At 45.3% G+C, this 15656-nt stretch overlaps 1 protein-coding gene across 8 annotated transcripts in view; it reads right to left on the bottom strand.

Moving 5' to 3' along the window:
- The window catches only part of SH2D4A (SH2 domain containing 4A), an 82526-nt gene that overhangs the window by 60245 nt on the left and 6625 nt on the right, over positions 1-15656 (bottom strand). For all 8 annotated transcript variants that reach the window (NR_156444.2, NM_022071.4, NM_001363110.2 and 5 more), the window contains 2 exons: positions 2860-3019; positions 1117-1288 (listed from right to left, as the gene is read on the bottom strand). Coding sequence is in view for 7 of the 8 variants with exons in the window: in NM_022071.4 (NP_071354.2) it covers positions 1117-1288; positions 2860-3019 (332 nt within the window). In the remaining variant the exon portion in view is untranslated. The remainder of the gene's footprint in view (positions 1-1116; positions 1289-2859; positions 3020-15656) is intronic.

The following is a 15656-nucleotide window of genomic DNA, read 5'->3' as shown; positions in this document are numbered from 1 at the left end:
CACACAGCCAGTGCTGCAGGGCTGGAGACATAAATGGAAATCAAACAACTGCAAATCCCTGTTAATTCTCAGTGTAATTAAATTCCTGGTAGAATAATAAGGTGTTTCATTGTTCTCCCAAACTATAATCCAACCAGCAAATTATGTTTGAGTTTTTTAAACCATCTGAACCATAAGAGAATTCATACCAATTCTGAGTATAAAATTTCTATTATGTTGGGGAGGTAACTGTCCCCAAGTCACAGGCAGAGCCAATGAAGCCCAACAGGCACTGATGTTTAGAATCCGCAACAAAAAGGCTAAGACTCAGTAGAATGTAATCTAAATCATGAACAGGCCAAATCTGCCCCTCAGCCTGTGCTTGAAAATAAAGTTTTATTGGAACACAGCCATGCTCATTCATTTGTGTATAGCTGTGACAAAGATGGCATGGCCCATAAAGCCTAAACCATTTACTATGTTGCACTTTACAGAAAATGTTTGCCAACCTCTGCTGTAACAGAAGACATATAATGGGGCAGCATTGAGGAGAACCTGAAAATATCTTAAAATGCCAAATTGCATTCCTAGCGTTCTTGTTACTTTCAGTCTCATGAAATAGGGGTGCTTTATTTTCCATGATGTAGCATGGAAGGTAAATCCCCCAAGTGACATGAGCAAGAGGATCTTTTTTTTTTTGAGATGGAGTCTCGCTCTGTCGCCCAGGCTGGAGTGCTGGAGTGCAGTGTCGCAATCTCGGCTCACTGCAAGCTCCACCTCCCAGGTTCACGCCGTTCTCCTGCCTCAGCCTCCCGAGTAGCTGGGACTGCAGGCGCCCGCCACCACGCCCAGCTAATTTTTTTTTTTGTATTTTTAGTAGACACGGGGTTTCACCGTGTTAGCCAGGATGGTCTCGATCTCCTGACCTCGTGATCCGCCCGCCTTGGCCTCCCAAAGTGCTGGGATTACAGGCATGAGCCACCGTGCCTGCCCTGGAGGATCTTAAAGTTAGGAGGCATTTCTCCCAAGAAAGCCACTGGAGGATCCTGACACTCAGCCACAGTAGTCTCTGTGGCCTCAATAGCTTTTTCTCCCCCATGATGAAATTCCGCACGTCTACAGACAGTAAGGACTCACTCGGATTTTCTCTTCTTCCAGGGTTGGTGCTGGCCTCGATCCTTGCTCCAGTTCCTCCTTTTCTGCCACTTTCTTCCAGATGTCTTTAGTCTGCTGGTTATCCGGAGCCTGCAGATCATGGTACTGTGATTTTGTTTTCAAGCTATTGGTGAATTCTTCAGAGTGAGTTTTTCTGAAGAGAGGCAAAAGTGAAATTCTCAAAAAACATTCTTCAACAGGAAGAGCCTTTCCAAAGCATATGTCGACATTCAAATTATGTGAAAAACAGTAACTGACACCACTTACTGAGTGCTTCTAACATGCTGGGCCCTTTGCTAGGTGTGTAAAGACGTTAACTTCATCCTCATCACAACCCTGTGAGGAAGGCATTGTCATCCTCACTTTGTTATAAGAGCTCCAAGAAATTTTGTAATTCATCCAAGACCACATAGTGGTACAGCCAAGATCTGAACCCTGGTCTGCTCAACTCCTGGTTTAGAAGTTAACCTATTAGAACCACACCGTCTGCTTCCAATCGATGATTAAATAATTCCTTTATCTTCATATGTCCATGGATAGTTTTAAAGTTACAGGCACTAGTGGGCAGCATCCCAGCCCTTGAAAGTCCAATGCACCATCCACTGTGCCACAGAGTCTGCTTTGCATCCCTAGCCCTTGGGAACTGAACGGTGGTCCTCATGTCTGTCCCAATTTCCACTTCACCACCTCAGGGTAAGGCTGTCAACATCACTGCCCAGAGCCAGAGGAGGACACCCAGAGCACCCCAGGTACCCAGCAGAGGAGCGCCATCACCTGCCTCAGTTTCCCTCCGAGTTACCTTCCTACATCTGCAGTTGATGTCACTTCCCTATTGAAAAACCTCACCGTCCAGAGAATAAGTTCCAAACTCCTAAATCTGGCCTCTGAAGCAGTTGTCCAAGTGTATTCCAAATGCTCAGAAGACCTCATCATTCCCCAAAGAACCATCCGTAGTCAAGTCTAGGGATCTTGGTTAAGCCCTCTGCCTGCACTTTCCTTCCTGGCCTTCTGTAGCTGGAAAACCACTCCTTTCAAGGTTTGGTTCAGATTTCACCTCGTCTGTGGATCAGAATGATAGGTTCCCACCTATGCTTGGTAAACTTTCTGTTTGTACCTTAATTATAGCACAAATCACAGCCTGCACTGGCCGCAGTGAGCTGTGCATATGTCTACTTCTCCTCCTAGACTGGAAGCTCCCTGTTTCTCTTTGAATTCCCAGTACCTTGCACTGGGTAGGCACCTAAAGAGCCTGATTATCCAGCCGCCTGTATCTAAGTGATCTCCTTGGAAGGCCTGAAGCTTGCACAGTCACTGCATTTCTCACATATGTTCCTGATACTCAGCTGCGTCGGCCTGCATTGCTCTAACATGACTCTAGTGCAGCCACGGGTGATCACTGGGGAACTCATACACTCATACAGATCAAAACTGGAATGACAAGCAGGGAGATGAAGCAGCTGATTTGACAGCACTAAAGATTTTCATGAGGTCTTTAGTGCTATCAAAGACTTTAGATCAAAAGTCTAAATCAACCTTCTAAAGAGATCCAAAAGGTCTTTAGACCAAAAGTCTAAATCAACCTTCCAAAGAGATCCAAAGTGACTTTTGTGACCCTCCAACCCAACCCTACTCTCCCACCTGATACTGTGAGCAAGAGGTGTGTTTGCAATGTTTTCTAAAGTCTGGAGAGTCTTTAAGTCTCTGGTTGGTTTGCAGATCTCATACCTGGGCTCTTCTGCCTCCTGTTCTGCTTTCAGCCGGGCCCTCTCAGCAATAATTTCATTACAGAGCACATCATAGGGTTTATCTAGATGGTGTTCGCCCATCACCCATACCCAGACTTCCTTATCAGCTCCAAGTTTCCAATGAACCGATTTGCCATTCTCTGCAAACAAACACACAAACAAAAAATTCAGATTGAACAAATATCTTTAGTCACAGATTACTGTTTCCATCACTAAAGTATTTTGGGTCTTTGAAAATATATATATATATATCAGATGAGACAAAGAACTTCCAACTGCTCAGGAACATCTGTAGGTAGCAATGGCAGTGGTGGCAGTGAGAGGCAGCTTCAGTGAAAATATTTGTTTTAAAAATATTAGGGGTATGTTTTTTGCCCGTGCTTTTTTTTTTTTTTTTTTTTTTGACAGTCTCACACTGTTGCCCAGGCTGGAGTGCAGTGGCATGATCTTGGCTCACTGCAACCTCCGCCTCTGGGTTCAAGCCGTTCCCCACCTCAGCCTCCCAAGTAGCTGGGATTACAGGCACCTGCCACCATGCCCAGCTAATTTTTGTATTTTTAGTAGAGACAGGGTTTCACCATTACAGGCATCTGCCACCACGACCAGCTAATTTTTGTATTTTTAGTAGAGACAGGATTTCACCATCTTGGCCAGGCTGGTCTTGAACTCCTGACCTCGTGATCCACCCACCTCAGCCTGCCAAAGTGCTGGGATTACAGGTGTGAGTCACTGCGCCTGGCTGCATGTGCCTATTTTATAAATGAAGAAACTGAAATGGGAAGCAAGCATTCATTGTTTGCATTATCCTTTAGGGTAACAGAGCTAGCACTTCACACCATAAATTCTTACATCTAACTATCTCCCTGTAACCCAGAATTCCACAGCTGCTCAAGGGTGTGGCATTTGTACTACATTCACAGGCTTCATAGGTGGGTAAAAAGCAGGTTTTATTATTTTATTTATATTGTATTTTATTTGTATTTATTATTTTATTTTAGAAATGGTGTCTTGCTCTGTCACTCAGGCTGGAGTGCAGTGGTGAGCTCATAGTAGTTAGGAATGCAGGCATGCATTACCATGCCCAGCTAATTTTTAAAATTTTTTGTAGAGACAGGGCTTTGCTTTGTTGCCCAGGCTGGTCTCAAACTTCTGGCTTCAAGCAATCCTCTTGCCTCAGATAAGGAGGTATTTTAGATTTAGACCACCTTGAGTTCAAATCCTAGCCCTGTCACTTACGAGCTATGTGACTTGGACAACTTTCTTAAACTCTTTAGACTCAATTTCCTCATCTGCAAAATGGGAATACCAATATTTACTACCTAGGGTTGCTGTGGGCAGGCAGGCTACCTGTGCCAAGTTCTTCCCCTAGTGCCTGCCACATAACAGGAGTTCAATAGAGGTTAACTGCTATCATTGCTAGCCTATTATTTACTTATATGGCTGCCTCAGAGATTCACACCAGCCTGTGAGAAGATAATATAACCAGGTAGTATGATACTTGGTGAAGCTACTTAAATAACCCTTGTTTACAATTGGCCTCCAGGTTAGATTATATCCTAGTGCTCCTGAAATGCGGCCACATCGGTCATGCTCCCTTAAACCGGGGGCAGGTGGAGCGTACCTAGGAGAGGCCAACAGAGACCATCCCTGAGTCTGTCAGGCCTACCCAGGGCAACTGTGGGCCAAAGGTGGACCTCTAGTCAAGACCCCAAACTAGCAGTGGTGCTGACTGCATGGAAGAGGGCACCTGGCTGGTGTGTGTGCTGGGCCCTGTTTGATGAGCAAAACATCCACACTGGGATTGTGTCTTGTCCTCTCACACTAAGTCAAAGGAGGTTTCCAATTAAGGTGTCTTCTGTCCAACGTATTCTTGACTTTTGTACTGTGGCCTTGGGATACATTACCAAAGCAGGCTGCTCAAAGCCAGGCTCGTGCTTTCTTTTGACCCTTTCTACCCTTCTTGGTACAGTGGACACTCCTGCAGTATGTTCTAAACAGAGACGCTGGGCAGAGGGAACAGACTCAGACTCTGCACTACCAAAGAATTCCCATTTACTGTTTTCACTGTGGAGAAACAGCAAATGTGGCCTCCAGGTAAGGAGGGGAAGGTCAATCCCACCATGCCCAAATGGGGCTGGGCACCAGTGCCAGCTCCTGGCAAGCTCTTTGTCTGTTTGACATAATGCCAGATGGTTTGTTAACTTTAGAAAGCTGTCATACCTCATAAAACTCCCTTTATTACACTCTCTCAGGCCAACTAATAATATTTTTTTTATGTCAGCCTCTCAGCCTTCACCTAAGTAGTTCTCTGTCGGTATTTTTTTTTTGACAGCAAGAGGAAGATGCCCAGAAAGATGGCAAGTGGCACTGTGCCAGGGGAAGAAAAAGGAAGAGCAGAGGGATTCCAGCACCTCAGCTAGGACAGCCCAGAACAGCTCCAGAACAGCCTCCAGGGGCTACGGGCAGGGCAGGAACTCTTAGGGAAAAGGGGCATTGCTGCAGGTGGGGAGAGAAATCCTAGGACTGCATGTGAGCAGTTGGGGCTTCAAAGCTAAACACAGAGAAGAGAGCAAAGGAGAGGAGCAGAGTCAAGAAAGCTTTAAAGGAGGTAACAGAGAGAACACAGTGACCATAAAGAAGCAGTGGCTCTTGGCAAGAAGAAAGAGAATGAGATGGGAAATGTCAGAGTTAGTGAGATGCTGAAAAACGGGCTCTTGACAGAGTGGCACTGACAATGGTCTCTCTGCTGACTTTTCACCTCTAAGAGCTCTTCAATGAGCTCAGAGAGTGGGGATACTGGAGGAGCTTCAAGTGGTTCCATGAACTCCCTGAAGCTGTAGGAGGAGGGGGAAGTTGTTCTAGTATAATGAGTGTTAGCTGGGATACCCTCGGCTTCACATCAGATGAGGGGATGACTCTCAAGGCCTTCGTAGTAGTTCATTCTACAAGGCAGAAAATGAGTTTTTGCTATTAGCAAGATGTAGAGCTAGATGCTGCAGGTGATACAGGAATGAAAGGGATGAAAGAGATGTGCCCATTCCCCTGCAAGTAACCTAGAGTCTACAAGAGAAGGAGCAAGACATTAGGTGATGCATTTAATGAATTTTCATCACATATCTAATACGTGTCAGGCACTGAGGTAGACACAGTGTATTAGTCCATTTTCAAGTTGCTGATAAAGACATACCCAAGACTGGGCAATTTGCAAAAGAAAGAGTTTAATTACTTAAAGTTTCATGACTAGGGAAGCTTCACAATCATGGCAGAAGGCAAGGAGGAGCTACTTGCACCTGTAACGTCTTACATGGATGGCAGCAGGCAAAGGGAGAGTAAGAAAGATGCAAAAGTGGAAACCCCTGATAAAACCTTCAGATCTCAGAAGACTTATTCACTACCATGAGAACAGTATGGGGGAAACTGCCCCCATGATTCAATTGCCTCCCACCAGGTCCCTCCCACAACATGTGGGAATTATGGGAGTACAATTCAAGATGAGATTTGGGTGGGGATACAGATCCAAACCATATCACACAAGTAAACACTTAGGACAAGATGGTCTAGTCCCTGTCCTCAGGAAACTAACATTCTAGTAGTCCCTGTCCTCAGGAGACTAACATTCTAGTAGTCCCTGTCCTCAGGAGACTAACATTCTAGTTGTGGAAAGCAGACATGGATACTTAATTAATTCTAAAATTATTAGAACTTCAAAAGCTGGTGGGGGTGGTGTTAAAGGATGCTATGGGAATGCTTAAAAAAAAGAACTAAGTCCCTGGAGGGCCAGGGCAGCATACATTATAACCACAGTGGATTTTCTACTAAGTCCAGTGAGGATTCAGGGGATGGAGAGATTGCTCTGTAAAGACAGAAGAGAAATACGACAAGTTCTTTGTACTGAGTATGGGAGGATGGATATGGAATTTAGACAGAGAGTGAGGGTGTGTTTGACGCTGGATGCAAAGAACAACATGACCAAAGAACAGAGAAGGGAATCAGCAGGCAGCCATGGGCAATAGGAAATGAGGGTCTCCACCAGGGCCGAGAGGGGCACCAGAAGTCACCTGCACGTGTGTGGCATAGGCTGACCATCACACAGGGGAGCAGAGAGCCATGTGGCACAGGGTCCCACACACCTGGCTAAGGGACTGAAATTTAGGACCTGTACTGCAGCTGAGCCAGAAAGCTAGAGCAAAATCCCAGTTTTACCCCTGACAAGTTATGAGACCATGCATACATCAATTTATGTCTCCAAGCCTGAGTTCCTTCTATAGTAAACAGAGGTAAGAAAGTCCTACCTCACAGGCCTGCTAGGTGACAAATGCTCACAGTGTATTATTTTCACATTCTTTATCTGAGTGGCCAATGAAGAATGCACGAATATTTCTGAGCAGATGGTGCAAGGATTGGATCAGAAAGTGATTGAGGAAGCTCTGCTCCGCATGTCAGTATATACAGGATGGACCAGGGTGGCATGTGGTGGGTATTCAGTCAGCATTTGGGGAGAGAATGGGGAGAGACTAGGGGTCAAAAGACCAGGAGTGAGGCAGTCAGGTCCTAAATAGGGCAGGCATAGGAAATGACAGTATTCAAGAATTTAGGAAGGTTCAGGCCACTGGATTTAAGGAAGGACTCAAAGATGATGCCAGAATCCTGAAACTCGCTAACTGGGAACACAGCAGCGGACAGGCAGAAGTAGTGACAAGAAAATTCATTTGCTTAAGGAGTAAAAAAAAAAACAAGCTGTTTTGGAAGCGTAGACTACGTTATTTTTACTTTTACTAGAAATCCATATGAGGACTTTCAATCGACATCTGGAATCCAGAATTGGAGTCCAGAAGTGAGGCCGAGATTAGCCATGTAGACTTGGGAATGACTCTATAGGTGGCGTTATTGAAGCCACTGGTACAGATGAGCTCATAGAGAGAATGAAGCCAAGAAGAGAACCTTGGAAAAGCAGGTGCTTTATTCAGAGGGCAGAAGAAAGGGGAGGGAAAAGAGAGTCCTGATTGACAATAAACAAACGAAAAACATGGAGGATTCTGATGCCCCAAATAACCAAACAGTGGAGGAGACCAGGGAGAATGTCCTGCCATGTTGCTGAGAGAGGAAAGGGACAGGGCAGTGTCAAGCCCTGCTGAGATGAAGCGGAGGATGATATAGACTGAGAAAGCTCTCAGGCAGCCTCGGACTTCAGAGAGACTCATTCTGGGGACGCCAGTGGGGCAGGCTACAAAGGCGGGATGGAAGGGATGGTGAGAACTGGTGTCGGCAGTCAGCGTGTGCTCTGGCGTTTATTGTGAAGAGGAAAAGGAGGATTCCCTGTTATTGGTTCAGCAAGTATTTACTGAGTGTCTGCTACATTCCCACCACTGCTCCATAGACCCAAGGGACAGAAAGAGTACTTCAAGAGCACAGTTGGCTGAACGATTTCTTTAAATGGGGGAAACACAGGCAGGGAGTATACCTGGGGTGTTGGAAGAGGCGGGAGTAAGGATGTCAAGGGTGACACCCAGGGAATGATGGATAGAAGGAGGTGCAGGTGAAGAACAAAGCATTGACAAGGAGTTGAGGAAAGCTCCAGTCTGGTAAGAGAAGTTGAAAATGGAGATACACAGAACCCCATTTCTGTAAGCAGTGTACTTCCTTAAGTGTGCTTTCTTAAGGTACATTTCAGGGAGCCTAATGGGGCATGCACGTGTCTTTTCCTAGTTGAATACCGCCCAGGCATTCTGCATTTTCTGTCTGCTTCACCTTAAAATTACACGCACTCTTTAATCAGAGGTGAGTGAAGGAGGGAGCTTTTTATAGCACTTCGTTTAATTACAGGGTTTCTCTTTCCAGTCCTTGAATCATGTTTATACACTGCAGGACTCTTCATGTTTGCTATCTTGGGGGTTTCTTGAAGTGTTTTTCTAAAACCAACTTTTCTAGAAAGGCGGGTCAGTCCTGCTCAGAACAACACTGCCAAGTAGAGATACATCCACACTTCATTCTGCAGAGAAATCTCTAAGATCTGAGAGACATTTCCCCCTAGGGCCTCCTCTAACTAGGCAGTATTGAAAAACATCAGATAAAAGTGGGGTGACACATGTCCCTGGCAAGGAGATGGCCGGGCTTGGTCCAGTCCTAGATTGCAGCATGATGCCACTCACAGCACTGTTGAGTTGGATTTATTCCCAGGTGATGGGCTCGACAGGGGCACCTGAGGGTGAGATGTGGGCATCAGTGTGGATTAGCTCCTCGGGGGCAGTGAATGCCAGCCTTAGATTCAGCTAAGGTGGAGATCAAGGGCTAAGACTCACCTTTGAGGAGTCAGCTCTTGGTCTCCACCCCCACTGGATTCAACCTGATGGGCAATCACAGTAAAAGACGTGTGTGCGAGAGGGGGGAGAGGCAGGCACACATGCTCTCACACACACTACACACACACACACTCACACATACACACACACGATGTGGGGGAAGAGAACAGAGAGAAAGGGAAGGAGAATCATGTACTTTATCCCCACAAAGAAAAGACCAAAGACTGAGCCAACAGCTGCAAAAGAGAGTCAACACCAGGGCCTCCTATGAGGTAGAGGGGACAGTGGTAGCAACGTTCCATATTAACTACAGTGGGGTCTCATCAGGGCTGATGGAAGCAAGGTGCCCACCAACACCAAGGTTGTTACCATGCTGGCAGACTCCCAGAAACCACTGCCATATTGTCCCAAGTGGATCTTCCTTCCCTCTGGCCTCTCCTTTGGGACACCCCGGTTCCCCTCAACTGACCCAGAAACCAGAAGACAAATGCCTGACTGGCAGGGCCCACATCCCTTCCAACTGGTTGATGCCCATGCCCTATCTGTCACTAAATATCAGCTCAGGTGATTACTCACCTATTTTGCAATGAGGAAGTTGAGGCTCAAGGAAGTTAAATAACTTGCCCAAGATCACAGAGCTAGTAAACACTGAGAACAGAATTCAAAACCGTTCTGCATGAGTGATGGCAAAACTTGTTTAGGCCAGCTTACCTCATACAGTCCAAACTGAAATGCTTTGGAGGGTGAAAATGGAGCAATTGAAAAGGGACGCTGGGGTGGCAACCACACACAGGACCCCACTGGGCAAGCAGGGATGTGAAGTTGCCATCATGTTCTTTCCCAGCTCCACAGAGCGGCAGGGTGATGAAAACGCTAGGTCTAGCCCCGTATTCATTTTAATGAAGGCCAAGGCCCATTTCTATCAGAACTTCCTGAAATGATTCAAACTGTTGCTTTCCCCATTATTTCCTATATTTGTTAGCATACGTAACAATCCTGAAGTTATTAATATCAAAGTGGATTTTTAAACATTTTAATAAATTTTTATGCTTATTTAGAGATGAGGAGAGAAAGAAAGTTGGGGAACCTGCATGGCACTACAGCCTAGGGAAGCAGAGGGCAGTATAGAAACGAGAGAACCTCCGCTGGAAAAGCAGATGGAAGAACTAGAAAATAGAGAGAGGACATCAGTGAAGCCCATGGCTCAAGGAAGTTGACAGTGTTACCCAAAAAAGATGTTCGCCACGCAGCTAGGAAGCCAATCCCAGTTTAATTATAAAGCCCAGAGTTGGGGGAACAGAAAAGTGGGGCTCAGGGCCAGTAGTTCAGGACAGACTTGGAGTTGAACTGTATCTGAGTTCAAATCCTAACTCTACCACTGACTCATGCAAATTATGTCTCTAAGTATGTTTCCTTATTTGTAACAATAAAGGGGGCAAGATTTACCTGACCGGATCCTTGTGAGGATTAAATGAAATCATATGAATACAAATCTTATGCTTGGCACATCCTAACAGAACAGTATCTTGGTAGTGGGAAATCTCTATGGAATGGGACTGATGAAGCAAAACCCAAGGCATCAGAGACTAGGTGGGTGAGTGAGGGTCAGGGAGGAAACAGCGTGGCTCCTGGAGTTCTGGTTTTGGTGACTGGGAACAGAGCAATACCACCCATCATCATAGAGAGTAAAAGGCAGGACCAGCAGACGCCGGAGGGAGTTGGAGTGATGCTGGTGAATTGGGTTTTGCATCAAGCTTGCAAGGCTTACAGGTCTTCTGAACGGAGGTGCTCACCAGGCAACCAACACTCGGGTGAGAGGTCTGGCTTGGCAATCTGGGTTTGAGTCACTGGCATGAAGGTGATGTTTCACGTTTAAAGGTTATAAGAGTTGCCCTAGGGAGATAATCAGAACTTTCACCTTACCCTAGGATCTGCGAACCCCTGAGAGTCTATGAATGAGCTTCAGGGAGTCTATGAACATTGTGAGATTATACACAGAATGGTGTCTCTGTGCATTTTCCTAGCTCTAAGCTTTCAGTAAATTTTCAAAGGAGTCTATGATCCCCCAGCCTCATCTCAAAACCACAAACCACCAGTGCAGTGTGAGGCACCCCCTGGGGAATACAGATATTCAAGATGAAGGCAGAGAAGAAAAAAGAAACAGGGAGAGAGCAAGACACTCGTGACTGGGCGGCAACTCCAAGAGAGAGACACCAAGAGGCATCTAGAGTCAGAGGCGGCTGAGGAATTGATCAAGATAAGGAAGGAATCCAGCAGGTGATGCCCCTGTGCTGATAGCCCTACTGCATGCAGTGAGTTCAAAAGGGAAAGACAGGGAGGCAAACACTGTCAATGGCATGAACCAATGGCCTTAACATTATTTCACAAAAATAGAGGGAAAGCTTTTCATAAAGGATCTGCCCCCTTGGGAACAATGAGAACGCAGCAAAAAAAGCTGTATGAATCCAAGTCTGTTTCAAGGGCACACAGAGGAGCCCCTTCCGCACCTTGCACAGCAACCAGATCTCAGCCCATTGCATTAGGTTTCCATCAACTTGACATAGACCCCATGAAACAAGTGCTGGGAAACACGCTGCTAAGCGAAGGCGTCTTCTGTTTGCGTTACCCAATAAAATCACCCAAGAAGAAGGCTCTGTGGCAGATTCCTGACGCGAGCACATGTTTTAGATGTGCGCAAGGCGCCTTCACATAAAAGTCACTGTCATTAAGGTCCAGTGAAGGTAGCTTCAGACAAAAGTCACTGTCATTAAGCTCCAGTTAAGCTCTACGTGTAGTTTATTTGTTTACAGTGCTGGCTTTGGGAGAATGAGACCCAGGATCTATTCCAGCTGTGTCACTTACTGTTTGCCCTGGCCAAGTTAATGAACGTCCCTGAGCTTGACTTTCCTCATCTGTGAAAAGTGAATAGCAACACACACTTCAGGCTTAGCTGTGATTATTTAGTGAGACAATATACTTAATCTCAATGCTCAGGGTCTGATACCCAGTTAAGCGTATTGAATGCTGGCTGGTGCTACCATTATAGCATGCAGAAATGTGTACCACATCCATAACTATCACTTTTCTAGTAGCCACATTAAAAAAATCAAAAGGAGGCCGGGTGCCCTGGCTCACACCTGTAATCCCAGCCCTTCGGAAGGCCGAGGCAGGTGGATCACCTAAGGTCAGGAATTTGAGACCAGCCTAGCCAACATGGTGAAACCCCATCTCTACTAATAATACAAAAATTAGCTGGGTGTGCTGGCGCACACCTGTAACTCCAACTACTTGGGAGGCTGAGAAAGGAGAATCGCTAGAATTTAGGAGGCAGAGGTTGCAGTGAGCTGAGATCATGCCTCTGTACTCCAACCTGGGAGACAGAGCAAGAGACTCTGTCTCAAAAAAAAAAAAAAATCAAAAGGAACAGGTGAAATTAAGTATTTTACTTTACCCAAGATATACAAAATATCATCAGTTCCATATATAAGGAATATACAATTATTAATGTGGCATTATCTTTTCCTTCTACCAAGTCTTTGAAATCCGGTAGTTTACATGTATAGCACACCTCAATCCAGACTAGCCTCATTTCCTGTGCTCAAGAGCCACATGTGGCTTGTGGTGACTGCACTGGACGGTGCGGCTGTAGACCTCTAGCTACCCCAGCAAGCAGAGTAGATCCATACGTCTCTCCCTAAGTATCACATTCTCCCACTACAGAAATCAGAAATGATCTTCTCATATAGTACTAAGTTAAATTCACATGCTGATAGTTTTTCAGCCCCTTCTACTTCAGCCTTCAGATTACTAACAAGTAGACAAGTCGGGCACGGTGGGTCATGCGTGTAATCCCAGCACTTTGGGAGGCGGAGGTGGGTGGATCACTTGAGGTCAGGAGTTCAAGACCAGGCTGGCCAACATGGTGAAACCCTGTCTCTACTGAAAATACAAAAATTAGCTGGGCATGGTAGCAGGTGCTTATAATCCCAGCTAGTCACTCAGGAGGCTGAGGCAGGAGAATCGCTTGAACCTGGGAGGCAGAGGTTGCAGTGAGTTGAAATGTCACACCACTGCACTGCAGCTAGGGAGACAGAGGTTGCAGTGAGTTGAAATCTCACACCACTGCACTGCAGCTTGGGAGACAGAGCAAGACTCTGTCTTTAAAAAAAAAAAAAAAAAAAAAGAATAATAGACAAGTTTCTGTGATGCACAATACACAACAATTTTAGTGATGATCCCCAAACACTAAGCACAGGGGTCTGTGTATTCGTAGTGAAAAATGACCAGATGACAATGAAGGAACTTCTAAGTGATAAGCTAGAGGGGGTCAAGGAATGGCAGGGGTGGCCTATGATGTTTTTAATGAAATGAACAACCTTCAAAACCACCGTGTGGCTAAGAACTGCTAAGAAAAAGCAGCACTTAGCTCAGTACTAACCAGAAAGGCGGGAGAAGGGGAGGCAGGGAGCACAAGCCTTCAGGGATCAGATGCACGAGTGACCTGTCAACCCACAAGGGTCATGGGCTTAGCAGGTCTGCAGCACAGATAAGCACCTCTGGCAGCACCAGCCATGACAGCATTGCTTTGGACGGTCTATGGCTTTATCTTCAAAGACAGCGCAAGATGAAAGAGAAGTGATGGGATTTTAGGGGAAGTGGGAGTAACTTTTTCCCTTTCTGTAGTCAGAAGAGGAACTAATTTAATGCAAAATATATTTTTCCAAGTTTTCAATTTAAGGGAGTAATACACTTTTGACGTGAGATATTGATAGAACTTTCCCCACTTATATTAACATACTTTTCTCATGATCATTTGACTAACAAAGTTAACACAGGGTTTCTGAGAGGTAGATTCAAAACCCTACAAGCGAGAAATGTAAGCAAAGAAACTGAAATTATTATTTTAAGTCATCACAAGGAGACCAATTCAGCAAACACGAGAAACCCAAAGTCTAACAGAGTCTGGGCCATTGACTCTAGTGGCAAGAACCCTTTGGCTGCTAGTCCCCAAGGTCACCCCATCACACTAATATATGTTATGTTCACAGTGAACATGGTGCCCAGAAGAGACCCAATTATATCTGAAAAACTCTGACTGGGGAATCCAAGAAGGTGCATAAACCAGTTTAGAAAGAAAAAGAGTTATGTTTCAGTTTGGCCATGTTATTTGTTGGAGGAAAAGTTGTATTTTGGATAGTGCAGAATAATGTAAAATCCAACAGAACTGGGCATCTATTGGTGGTATAACCTTGCATATATTACTCAACTTATCTAAGTTTCATGGCCAGCTTCAGTGGCTCAGGCCTGTAATCCCAGCACTTTGGGAGGCCCAGGTGGGCAGATCGTTTGAGGTCTGGGGTTCAAGACCAGCCTGGCCAACATGGAGAAACCCCACCTCTACTAAAAATTCAAAAATTAGCTGGGTGTGGTGGCACATGCCTGTAATCCCAGCTACTTGGGAGGCTGAGGCAGGAGAATTGCTTGAACCCGGGAGACGAAGGTTGCATTGAGCCAAGATTGTACCACTGCACTCCAACCAGGGCGACAGAGTGAGACTCCATCTCAAACAAACAAACAAGCAAAAAAAAAAATGAACTTCTCTAAGTCTCATCATCTGTAAAACAGGACTGTCACTGCTGACTTTGCAGAAGTTTTGTGAAGGTTAGGCATTATATGCATAAATGTGCTTCACATAGTGTCTGAAACAGGAGGTGTTTCATAAATAGTTGTATTGATCATAACAAGAGGAAATGACATATTTCTGTTTATTTCCTTGTCATGATAAAGGCATCACTGGAAAAAAGTTTTAATAAAAGACAGTAAAAAGTAAAGGACGCTACACTGACCTCCTTTGTGAACCTGGGCATATACCAGGGATGCAAGAGAGATTCATTTTCTCAATCTTTGAAACCATATGTGATTTTACAAAATTTTATTTTCCTGGTTTAATGAAACATGAAAAGAGACGGTCTTAGATGCCTCTGCAAGTGACCTTGAAAAGTGTGCTGTGTTTTCACAACTTTGGTATTCACCCATGACAGACTTCGCATGTAAACAGCAAGGCGGGGGTGTGGGGGTTAGTGAGAACGGAGTGAGGAGGGTGGACAATGTGTATTTTTCTGTGTCTGTATGTGTATATGCTTTAAGTCTTTTTTTTTTTTTTTTTTTTTTTGACACACAGTCTCACTCTGTCACCCAGGGTGGAGTGCAGAGGTGTGATTTCAGTTCAGTGTGGCCTCGATCTCCTGAGCTCAAGCAATTACACCACCTCAGCCTCCCAAGTAGTTGGGACTATAGGCATGTACCACCATGCCCAGCTAATTTTTTATTTTTCCTAAAGAAAAGGTCTCACTATATTTCCAGGCTGGTCAGAACTCCTGGACTCAAGTGATCCTCCTACCTCGGCCACCCAAAGTGCTGCAATGACAGGCATGAGCCACTGCACCTTGTCTGCTTTAAGTCTTAATGTACAAAGATT

The sequence above is a fragment of the Homo sapiens genome, chromosome 8 (assembly GCF_000001405.40).
Source record: "Homo sapiens chromosome 8, GRCh38.p14 Primary Assembly".
Taxonomy (NCBI): Eukaryota; Metazoa; Chordata; class Mammalia; order Primates; family Hominidae; genus Homo; species Homo sapiens.
The sequence above is the reverse complement of the archived record's forward strand: the minus strand, read 5'-3'. Positions and strand labels throughout refer to the sequence as shown.